Below are 12,144 nucleotides of genomic sequence, written 5' to 3' on the forward strand. Positions count from 1 at the left end.
TTAGTTGAAGATTATATATTTCAAGTGTCACTAGTTGTAAATGTCAAAACAGTCTATTGACCAAAAAAAAAAAAAAAAAAAAAAAAAAGTCCTATTACTCTGGGCACAGTTGGAACAATGCCTGTTTGAATCAAGTCCTTCCTCCCCTCAAAAAACATTGTGATTAATGCAAAGTACCTAACTCCACTGATTTCTTTTTCCCTCACTTTTTAGGATTATGGCTGCTGTTCCTCAAAATAATCTACAGGAGCAACTAGAACGTCACTCAGCCAGAACACTTAATAATAAATTAAGTCTTTCAAAACCAAAATTTTCGTAAGTGTTTTGACTGGTTTGCTGTCACATAGGCACTAACTTACCACATTGTACACATGAGATATCTTCTCTTTAAACTCCCCCATTGTACAGATGAGGAAATGAAGCTGAGAGATTCATTGATTTTCCCACTTTGCCAATTAATGGTAGAGTATGTTTTAGCAGCACCAGGTGAGATTGTGTCTCATCTTTGCATGGTTCCTGGCACATAATATTTGCTCAATAAAGATTTGTTGAGTAAATGAATAATTGATCTTGTAAATTTGGGCAAATAAGTGTTTTTTAAGTTTTGGGGGGTTTTTTTGTTTGTTTTGTTTTGTTTTGTTTTTTCTTTTGAGACGGAGTCTCGCTCTGTCGCACAGGCTGGAGTGCAGTGGCGCGATCTTGGCTCACTGCAAGCTCCGCCTCCTGGGTTCACGCCATTCTCCTGCCTCAGCCTCCCGAGTAGCTGGGACTACAGGCACCTGCCACCACGCCTGGCTAATTTTTTTTTGTATTTTTTAGAGACGGTTTCACCTTGTTAGCCAGGATGGTCTCGATCTCCTGACCTCATGATCCACCTGCCTCGGCCTCCCAAAGTGCTGGGATTACATGCATGAGCCACCGTGCCCAGCCTTTTTTTTTTTTTCTTTTTTGAGACGGAGTTTCGCTCTTCTTGCCCAGGCTGGAGTGCCATGGCACAATCTTAGCTCACCGCAACCTCCGTCTTCCGGGTTCAAGTGATTCTCCTGCCTCAGCCTCCCAAGTAGCTGGGATTACAGGCATGCACCACCATGCCTGGCTAATTTTGTATTTTTAGTAGAGACAGGATTTGTCCATGTTGGGCAGACTGGTCTCAAACTCCTGACCTCAAGTGATCCGCCCACCTTGGCCTCCCAAAGTGCTGGGATTACAGGCGTGAGCCACCACGCCCGGCCAATTATTTTAATATAATTTTATATACTTTCGAAGAACAGTTTATAAGGAAACTACAGCTCTCCAGTTCTGCCTCTCCTCTAAGCTATACTCCAGACTCCTTCTAATGATATCTAATAATAATTTATATTATAAGTGATGCTTTTACCAGGTTGTAGACTTTGTTCTGGGTGCCTGGCTTTGAAGTCACCACTGACTTTGAGATCATTAAATCCAGCAGATAGCCACGATTCCTGCGTCTTTTACTTGTCCTGCAGATTTTAACAGAGTTAGCAGTTTTTAACTCTTTTTCCCCTTTAAGTTCTTATCAGAGTAGCAAAAAGTAGCCATATTTGAATCTCTTCCGTTTTTCTTTTTTCTTTTTTTTTTTTTGAGACAGTCTCGCTCTGTCACCCAGGCTGGAGTGCGGCAGTATAGTCTCGGCTCACTGTAACCTCCACCTCCTGGGTTCAAGCTATTCTCCTGCCTCAGCCTTCTGACTAGCTAGGGCTTCAGGCATACACCACTATGCCCGGCTAATTTTTTGTGTTTTTATTAGAGGTGGGGTTTCACCATGTTGGCCAGGCTGGTCTCGAACTCCTGACCTCAAGCATTCCACCTGCCTCGGCCTCCCAAAGTGCTGGGATTACAGGCATGAGCCACTGCACCCGGCCTCTTCCCTTTTTCATTTATGCTGTCACCCCGCTCTGGAGATGCTATTAACTAAGGACTACTAGCCTGAGAAATAAAGTAGTGGGAATGACCTCTCAAAGCCAAATAATTAGCCTCTGAATGGGAAGGACCAGAGAACGAATACAATTTAAGTTACCTGATAAATTTAAAATCGAGAGAGATGGATTCTTTGCTCAGTTGGGATACAATTAATGTAACCTGTGTGAATTAGTTTAAAAAATTAGTTTTGTAGAGTTGGGGGGTTTCTTAAAATGGATCCATCTAATCTAGTTTTTCCATTATTTTTCAGAGGTTTCACTTTTAAAAAGAAAACATCTTCAGATAACAATGTATCTGTAACTAATGTGTCAGTAGCAAAAACACCTGTATTAAGAAATAAAGATGTTAATGTTACCGAAGACTTTTCCTTCAGTGAACCTCTACCCAACACCACAAATCAGCAAAGGGTCAAGGACTTCTTTAAAAATGCTCCAGCAGGACAGGAAACACAGAGAGGTGGATCAAAATCATTATTGCCAGATTTCTTGCAGACTCCGAAGGAAGTTGTATGCACTACCCAAAACACACCAACTGTAAAGAAATCCCGGGATACTGCTCTCAAGAAATTAGAATTTAGTTCTTCACCAGATTCTTTAAGTACCATCAATGATTGGGATGATATGGATGACTTTGATACTTCTGAGACTTCAAAATCATTTGTTACACCACCCCAAAGTCACTTTGTAAGAGTAAGCACTGCTCAGAAATCAAAAAAGGGTAAGAGAAACTTTTTTAAAGCACAGCTTTATACAACAAACACAGTAAAGACTGATTTGCCTCCACCCTCCTCTGAAAGCGAGCAAATAGATTTGACTGAGGAACAGAAGGATGACTCAGAATGGTTAAGCAGCGATGTGATTTGCATCGATGATGGCCCCATTGCTGAAGTGCATATAAATGAAGATGCTCAGGAAAGTGACTCTCTGAAAACTCATTTGGAAGATGAAAGAGGTAACAATTATTTTATCTTCATTTTAGTATGTTCATTGTACTTTTTTATTCAAAGCTAGCCATTGGGAATAGTCATGAATATATAGAGCTTTTGTCCTTAAGGTTGTTAGGGTCTTTAGTGGTGCTTTTTGAATAATCTGTTGGCCACATTTTTGAGGCAGGACGTACTGATGAAATGGAAGGTTTTAGTCTGCTAATATAGTTTCCAGGATAGCTCTGTGATTTTATACATGAAGAAAATACAGGAGTTTCCCCTTGTCCACAGCTTTGCATTCTCTGAGGTTTCAGTTACCCGCAGCCGGCTGAGGTCTGAAAATATTGCATCACTTCTCTTGCGCTTTGGGACCATTATTAAGAAAACACAAGCCCTGCAATACCGCGACAGTCAATCTGATAACTGAGACCACTACTAAGTGATTAACAGCAACCCAGGTGGACAGATCAGGTCGGGGCAAGATTTTATCACACTATACTCAAAACAGCTTGAAACTGAACACTTATGAATTAATTTATTTCTGGGATTTTCCATTTACATCACAATGCCTACATCATTCACCTCTCTTCATCTCATCATATAGGCATTTTTTATCATCTTATATCTTTACAAAGGAAGGGTGAGTAGAGTAAGATATTTTGAGCAAGGGAGACCACAGTCAAATAACTTTTATTGCAGAATATTGTTATAATTGTGCTATTTCATTAGTTGTTCACCTTTTGCTGTGCTTAATTAATAAATTAAACTCTATCATAGGTATGTATGTATAGGAAAACACATAGTACTTATCGGGTTTGATACTATCCGAGATTTCAGGCATCCACCGGGGTCTTGTCACATATTTCCTGAAGATAAGGGGGTTGCTGCCGTAAGATCCATAGAGGTTAAAATGGTGGTTAGTGGTAAATTGGAAAATGAAACTAAGCCTTTCTACTGTAATTCCTTTATGGCTTGTTGCCACCTAATATTGATGTATAATGTGCTCTAATTGCACTATTAAAGTATTATAAATTACATTCAAAGTTTTTCCTGGCTAGATCTTGTAATTATTTAATGTCCAAAATTGAGTAACTGAGATTACCCACATGGGGAAGTAACTCACCTTATGAAGCAGTTGCAAATATGAGAGTAAAATTTTTAAACCCCTGAATCCCATTAAGGTTACTCTAGGGTGAGAGAGCACTGAAAAGTGATTGACGATAAGCAAAACTATAGTCTCATCAATGATGCCTCTGTTTCTGAAGGGAAAATTTGTTAAAAGATAGACAGCAACAATTTGGGTTGTGTTTTCCCACATAGTCCAAAAGAGAGACTTAAATAACTGGGAAACTTTGTGTTAAAGATGATTTGTACAAGCAGCCGTGTTTGTGTTATTATCAGACTTATCTGTTGCACTTTACCCTTATTTAAATATGAGTGAAAAGTTAAAAACTAGAAACGTCAATAGCAAATACGTGTTTCGTAATTAACCAGAGACAGACATGAAAATCCCTAAGCAAATCTTCGGCCTCAGTCGAGCATTCACTGGACTTAATCCACTTGACTCAATAGTAATCATTTATGAATAAATAAGCCAGCATTAGCATGTAAAGGGAGAGGATCCATACAAAGTGGTGTGATTGTTTGTGACTTGCCAGAAGCACTCATTCTTAATCGCTCATGCCCTGTTCTTTCTGTCTCATTAGTGGTTAACAAATCTATGTTTATCAACTGTTTTACTGTAGATAATAGCGAAAAGAAGAAGAATTTGGAAGAAGCTGAATTACATTCAACTGAGAAAGTTCCATGTATTGAATTTGATGATGATGATTATGATACGGATTTTGTTCCACCTTCTCCAGAAGAAATTATTTCTGCTTCTTCTTCCTCTTCAAAATGCCTTAGGTAAACTAGCTAAATAATTAGCATTATTATTTGTTTCTGGGATACTTTAAATTGTTTAATTTAGTTTATAATATCATTTCTATATAAAAGTATTTTGTGCTTTCTACAATTATTTTACATTCAAGTGAAAGCCTCAAAAAAAAACCCTGTTTATACATTTAATTGGTTGCATTCTAAAGATGAAGTCCCATTATGATTAATTACATGAAACTTCAAACAATTTTAGGTAGCTGATTTTTTTTTTTTTTTGAGACAGTCTCGCTCTGTCACCCAGGCTGGAGTGAAGTGGTATGATCTTGGCTCACTGCAGCCTCCACCTCCCGGGTTCAAGTGATTCTTGTGCCTCAGCCTCCCAGGTAGCTGGAACTACAGGTGCACACCACCATGCCTGGCTAATTTTTTGTATTTTCAGTAGAGACGAGGTTTTGCCATGTTGCCCAGGCTAGTCTTGAACCCCTGAGCTCAGGCAATCCGCCCGCCTTGGCCTCCCAAAGTGCTAGGATTACAGGCATAAGCCACCTTGCCTGGCCTTATATAGTTGATTTTGACATAAGGAATATATTTCTAAAAATATTATATTTCCAAACCTGACCTGAAATGACACAAAGCTAACCCATTATATGGGAAGTGAATTAGGACATTAGTACTTTTTAAAAAAATCCTACAGGATAGAATTGGCCATTGTATTTGTTATTCACTCAATTTTAGCAAATTGGTGACATGATTATTGTTAATTGGTAGTATTACGAGAAAAATAGATACTCCACACGACTCATCAACAGCTTAAATTGCTAAGTGTCAATGTTACCTTCGTCCTCATCCCAGTCTCACTCTCAGACCAGTTGAGTGGTAGAGTATAGTATATACTAAACTGAGCAAAAGTTTATATAGAGTCTCAATTCTAAACCAGCATTCTCATTTACCAGGTGAAACAGCTGAGGCCCAGGGAGGAGCAAGGAATTGCCCAGGTTGATACAATGAATGACAAATGGACTCAGATCCAGTGTAGTGCCTTCCCTGGTGTCATACTGATTCCTTGTTGAATGCCTGGCTTTTTTCTTTACTCATTAAAAATGTGTGTTACGCAAATAATATAATCATTTTAACAAGGATTCTAAATAAGAAGGAAGGAGCACTGCTGGGTGCGGTGGCATGGTAGTGGCCTGTAGTCCCATCTACTCAGGAGGCTGAGGCAGGAGGATCCCTTAAGCCCAGGAGTTCAAGGCTGTAGTATGCTGTGATTATGCCTGTGAGTAACCATTGCACTCCAGCCTGGGCAACATAGCGAGACCCTCATCTCTAAAAAATTAAAAAGAGAGAGAGAAGGAATACTAGTAGTCCCACAATTCTGACTGTTTTCTTTATCCATCTTCAGTTTTGATACATGTGTGTTTGATTTCTGCATTGTTGTAATCAACATGTAATTATAATTTTATATTCTACTTTATTTCTCTTAGCATTATTTCTAAATCATTTTCCAATTGCTACATATTTAATTCCTTTTAATGGCTACATAATTTATCAAATTGTCATATCATAAATAAATTTACCTAGAGTCTTAGCAATTAAAAAAGCTTGTTTTACAAAGTATTTCCAAGGTAGACTCTCTTTGTACATTTCCCATTGTAACTTAGTATACATATGTGTATATATTATAAAACTGAAATAGAATTTTCACAATATTTTTTGTGCAATGCACAGCTTAAATTCTATGCTACATTTTATTTCAGTTTTAAAAAATACTGGTTGTAACCTCTGAATTTCAGAAGTCAAGTGGTCAGACAGTATATAACAGAGAAGAGAGACCTGTTTTTCAAACTCCTCTTTTCCAAAACCTCTGTAGCTGGCCCTCAAGATTCTCCATCTTCTGGCCACAATTTACCTTTTTCAGCTTTATCTCCACTTATGCCCTTGCAATAACCCAGTGGTTTTAATGAGTCAAACCAACAATCTAGAAAGCATATCATTTTCTTTAATTATAATGTTATTGTTTAAAAAATAATATTAAAAAGTTACACTGTTTTGATTTAGTTAGAAAGTTGCATTCCAAAATTATTCTTTAGGAAAATACAGTTGATTCCCAGATGTCAAGCAAATAGAAATGTCCTTTTTAAAATCTTTCTTTCATAGTCTGACACTTTCCCCATACTTGTCATTCAGTTTGCTTAAATCTTATCTCCTTGGCAAAGCCTTCTAAAGTTCCAAAAAATGTTACCTTTCTTTGGATTTCCACAGTATCCTCTCTTTAACACTCATTCAGTACTAATTTATTTTGTTATTTGTAAAGTATTTTTTCTATGTAATCAGACTGACCAGGTTTATATGTTAATATGTTTTTGTATAATCTGTGTGGTGAGGTAATTATATATGCAGACACACAAAAACACATGTACATATATTTGCATAATAAGAGAAGTCCAGAAAAAGTGCTTTGAAATCTCAGAAAAAAGAGACATTAATAATCACTTGCTGGAGAAGTAATGCTTTGGCTGGGGCTAGAAGAACAGGTGTGATTTGGGTACGAAGAGATTGGAATGGCAGGTTTTCCAAATTGAGAGGATCAGTGGCAAAATCCCCAAAATAGGCAATGCAGGGCTTATATGAAGAATGTAAGTGGTACAGTATGACTGAAGATTTGTGTTACTGAAAGGACATAATCGGAGATAATGTTGAAAAGGGCTCTTTCTGGACAACTTTGAGGACCAGCTAAAGAAGTTTTATAATTGAGGAAATTTAAAAAACTACTTCTCTTTTCTGTTATATATTGTCTGATCAGTGGTAGAAAAATATTAAGGGTTTCAAAATTATACATTTATTGAGTCTAGCCTATAGTATGATTGGCTTAACATTTTTTTTATTTGCAGTACGTTAAAGGACCTTGACACCTCTGACAGAAAAGAGGATGTTCTTAGCACATCAAAAGATCTTTTGTCAAAACCTGAGAAAATGAGTATGCAGGAGCTGAATCCAGAAACCAGCACAGACTGTGACGGTACAAGCAATATTTTAGACATACCATGTATTTCAACTACTTACTTTTGAAAACAACGTAACACAAAGATTGTGTTTTGAACCTGTGGCTGTATGTTATAAAATGGCAGATTTGTAGTTTCTTTTCTTCTAATGTCATAACCTTGTTTACTGGTTAGCCAGCATTTGCCTGAACAACTCATGAACTCATGCTCTCACAAGGGCGTTCATTCCCCATTTTGAAAATGCTACTTGTTAGAAATCATCTCTCATACTGAGCCAAGATCTGCAACTTTAATTCTAGGAGGTTTTTAAATTTTTATTTACAAATGAGAACTTCCACAAAATCCTGTGTTTCAGAAACACGGACCACAGAGCGTAATCTCATCATAATAGAGTTTCCCTCCCCCTCCTTGACTAAATATTATTAGGTCTTTTAACTCTCCTTGCTAGAAATTGCTTTCTTGACCTTTCATCCTCCGGTTCTCCCTTGTATATACTCTGAGTCTAGGTCTGGGTCTTGATGTTCATTTAAAGCTAAATACTTGTTTGCTTGTTTTGTTTCTAATTCATTTTTTATTTTTTATTAAATATCTAGTGTAAATAATCAGATAGCAGTGCAAGACTTTGATAAACGACAGTCCCCCTTCCCACTCTTGGTGTCTGCTGCTCAGAGGCACCTTCAGTCTGAAAATATACATCCTCTTGTAGACATTTTTCTGGCATTATTTCTTTTTACCTTCTTTTTCTCTTTTTCACTCTTCCTGGAACTTCTATGATTTGCATGTTAGACTTCCATTAATTATCTTTTCTATTTTTCATCTCTTGATTTTCTACTTTTTAGGATATTTCCTTGATTTTATCTTTAACTCTTCTGTGGAATTTTTAAATTTCTATCAAGGCAATTTCCGAGAGCTCTTCTTTGTTCTCTGGATATCTCTGTCGTGCATTCGAGTCTGAGGGCTGCTGGGCTTTTTTAGCGACGTCTGCATGCATGTGCGGGTCATGTGTGTAGTGTTCTCTGTGTGTTGTTTTTGTTTCCTCCAGTTTTTTTGTGGTTTATTTTGGACTCAATTTATTTTAGAGATATTCAGGAGGTGACTGATGTGCTGGGCGCTCTTATAAAGTGCCTTACAATATTAACTAATTCAGTCATCACCATAAACTACCTCAAACTTTAAGGTAGTTTCCTTTTTTTTTTTTTTGAGACGGAGTCTCGCTCTGTCACCCAGGCTGGAGTGCAGTGGCACAACCTCAGCTCACTGCAGCCTCCGCCTTCCAGGATCAAGTGATTCTCCTGCCTCAGCCTCCTGATTAGCTGGGATTACAGGTGTGTACCACCATATCTGGCTAATTTTTTGTATTTCTAATAGAGACAGGGTTTCACCATTTTAGCCAGGATGGTCTTGATCTCCTGACCTTGTGATCCGCCCACCTCGGCCCCCCAAAGTGCTGGGATTACAGGCGTGAGCCACCGCGCCTGGCCCACTTTAAGGTAGTTTCTGTTATCCCCATTTAACAGATAATGAAACTAAGGTACAGGAGCGTTAAATAGTTACACACCGTCATAGAATTAGCCTCAGAGCTAGGATCTGAACACAGCAGTCTTGAGGCTTTTGAGTTTTCATTGATAACAACTGCATTATACTGTCTCTGTATCATTAAGTTTCACTAATAAAATGGTTAGCTAGAACAGGGGCAAGGACAGAGTTCTACAGCATGTCAATAGAGGCTTCCCTCTTGGCTTACAACAGTCCATTCATCACCACTTCTTGTTCAGCTAGTTACATATCTGTCTTCAGACCATGTTTCTGTTCTTTATCCATGGAGACACAAAAGACTTGACTATGTGACTCCAAAAAGTTAGAGGTGTGAGGCAGCAAGAAGGAATGGGTGGGACATTGACTCTAGAGTCCTACAGACCTGTAATAGAAACCTGTCTCCTCCTACTCTTGACTATGTGACTATGGCAAATAGTTAAACTTCTCTGGACTTCAGTTTTTTCTTCTATAAAATGAGGAGAATGATATCTACCTTGCTGGGTAGTTGTCAGGATTCAAGATAAAGTGCCTAGTACACTGCAGGCCTTTCATAAATGATAACTATTGTTATCTGCCAGTCTAGTAATCCTTTTAAAAAAGGAAATACATTAAGACGGATGGTTTGTTTTTATGAACTTTTGCTAACTCTATTATTGTTTCCTCCCCCTTAGAGCTCACAAAGCAGCTATTTGATAACAGGCTCTAGAATTTTGCTTTGAATTTACATCAAATCACCAGCCTGTAGTTTTTGGCAATCACTTTCAAATTTTTTGAAAATTAGAACAATGTTTGTCTGTCCTCACTTTCCATCAGTTCTCTTATTCACTAGATGCCTCACACACGTGTCAGTGACAGGGGCTCTGAGATCCTGTTTGCAGGTTTCCTTTGTACTCTGAGGTATAATCTGTCTAGACAAGGAGTCTTGGGCTAGTCTCTGATAGCTAGGTACCCCCTTTTATCTCCCTCTGAGCCTGTCTTGGCTTTCAGTTCCATCCGACCATTGTGTATTCTCTTTCCAATCTGATGCTTGTTTTCCTTGCAGAGAAAACAGAAGTAAGATAGGAATTCAGCAATTCCATTTTACATCTCATACCTCACATTTCTCTCAGTCACCAGAAGTCCAAATTTCCCAGGCCATTCTTGTGCAGATGCCCCTCCTCACCCTGCCATCTTCACTCCCTGTTCTGTCCTCACTTCCTGTCCTTCCTGGCTTGTAAACCATTTAACTGACTGCTCTGTCAGCAATGTCCCTGTAGCCTCATCCGCTTCTCTGATCATTTTCTTCCCCTTCTTTCTCTAATTGTTTTCTGAGGATATGTACTGTTTCCCCTGCAGCCCACCTAAACTGTTTTTTACTCTCACAGACTTTAGGCCTGAGAGGTGGCAAAGGCATCTGTTGTCCTTGCTTCCTATTGCCATTTTTTTTCCTTTTTTTCATCTTTTTTTTTTTTTCTCGCTCTGTCACCCAGGCTAAAGTGCACTGGCGCAATCTCTGCTCACTGCAACCTCTGCCTCCCAGGTTCAAGTGATTCTCCTGCCTCAGCCTCCTGAGTAGCTGGGACTACAGGCATGCACCACTATGCCCAGCTTTTTTGTATTTTTATTAGAGACAGGGTTTCGCCACGTTGACCAGGCTGGTGTCAAACTCCTGATCTCAGGTGATCCTCCAGCCTCAGCCTTCCAAAGTGCTGGGATTACAGGCGTGAGCCACCATACCCAGGCGCAGCTGAGGTTTTAGATGAAGGAAAGGGCTGGCACGGTGGCTCACGCCTGTAATCCCAGCACTTTGGGAGACCGAGGTGAGTGGATCATTTGAGGTTTAGGAGTTCGAGTCCAGCCTGCCCAATGTGGCAAATCCCCATCTCTAATAAAAATACAAAAAAGCCGAGCGTGGTAGCGTGTGCTTGTAGTCCCAGGCACTCAGGAGGCTGAGGCAGGAGAATCACTTGAACCGGGGAAACGGAGGTTGCAGTAAGCCGACATTGCACCACTGCACTCCAGCCTGGAAGACAGAGCAAGAATCTGTCTCAAAAAATAAAATAAAATAAAACCTCTACTGCTTTGAAATTCTATTTATTAGTTATGGCTTAATTTTTAAAATGGGAGTGGGCTGGCAGGATTCAGTTGTTCAAACATCATATCAGGAGTTGCTCTGTCTCTCACTTCCCTTCTCTCTCCTCTCTTCTGTCCCATCTCTCCGGGTCAAACCTCCATTTCTTTCTATGTGCTTTCTACTTTTCCTTTGTATCAATCTTATTTGAAATCTGTCTTTCTTTATAAGGTGACAGAAATGGCCACCAGAATCATATTAAGCTTGGAAAAAGGGAGGTACTTTTTCCCAGTCAGCCCTAAGTATTTCCAGAGTTAATTTTCACTGGGCTGCCTTGTGTCAGATGCCTACTGAGGGAGTGGGAAGGGTAGGTCTAATAGGAAATCTTGGTAACAGTATATGTTACCATTAAAGGGAAGCCTGGATTCCAGGCAGATCAAAACAACAGGTAGGGCTCTTGCCTGTCCAACGCTTAACAATACACTTTGTGTTGGCACAGTGAGCTTTGCACATGAAGTTAGTTAAAAATAAAATCATAGTTAACTGATAAACCTTTGTTCCAGCCAATGACCTTGCTTACCCCAAGAAATATTATTTATTAAATATTATGAAATTAAATGAAAACAGTTATGAGCTCTTATGATAAAGCGTAGAGACAACCCAATTTCAAGTTAATTCACAGGAAGATAATAGGACAATATATGGTTGTTTATGATCTTGTTTTTACACTGCTTCATATTTTACATATGTGACTTTCAAAATCTTAAGACTTGACTGGGCACAGTGGCTCACACCTGTAATCCTAGCACTTT

General features: G+C 38.9%; 1 protein-coding gene and 1 non-coding gene across 7 annotated transcripts in view; one reads left to right on the forward strand and one right to left on the reverse strand.

The window, feature by feature from the left end:
- BLM (BLM RecQ like helicase) overlaps window positions 1–12,144 on the forward strand; it is a 98,821-nt gene that overhangs the window by 29,830 nt on the left and 56,847 nt on the right. For 5 of the 6 annotated variants that reach the window (NM_001287246.2, NM_001287248.2, NM_000057.4 and 2 more), the window contains 4 exons: window positions 214–315; window positions 2,192–2,892; window positions 4,612–4,771; window positions 7,636–7,763. In NM_001287246.2, the coding sequence (NP_001274175.1) occupies window positions 218–315; window positions 2,192–2,892; window positions 4,612–4,771; window positions 7,636–7,763 (1,087 nt within the window). In that variant the 5' untranslated portion in view covers window positions 214–217. Of the gene's footprint in view, window positions 1–213; window positions 316–2,191; window positions 2,893–4,611; window positions 4,772–7,635; window positions 7,764–12,144 lie in introns of those variants that run through there. The other variant, XM_047432934.1, reaches the window with a different exon arrangement.
- LOC124903590 (small nucleolar RNA SNORD18) lies at window positions 8,068–8,137 on the reverse strand. Its single transcript, XR_007064807.1, has one exon. It is a non-coding gene; the product is annotated as a small nucleolar RNA SNORD18 (small nucleolar RNA).

This window comes from Homo sapiens, chromosome 15 (assembly GCF_000001405.40).
Source record: "Homo sapiens chromosome 15, GRCh38.p14 Primary Assembly".
Lineage (NCBI taxonomy): Eukaryota > Metazoa > Chordata > Mammalia > Primates > Hominidae > Homo > Homo sapiens.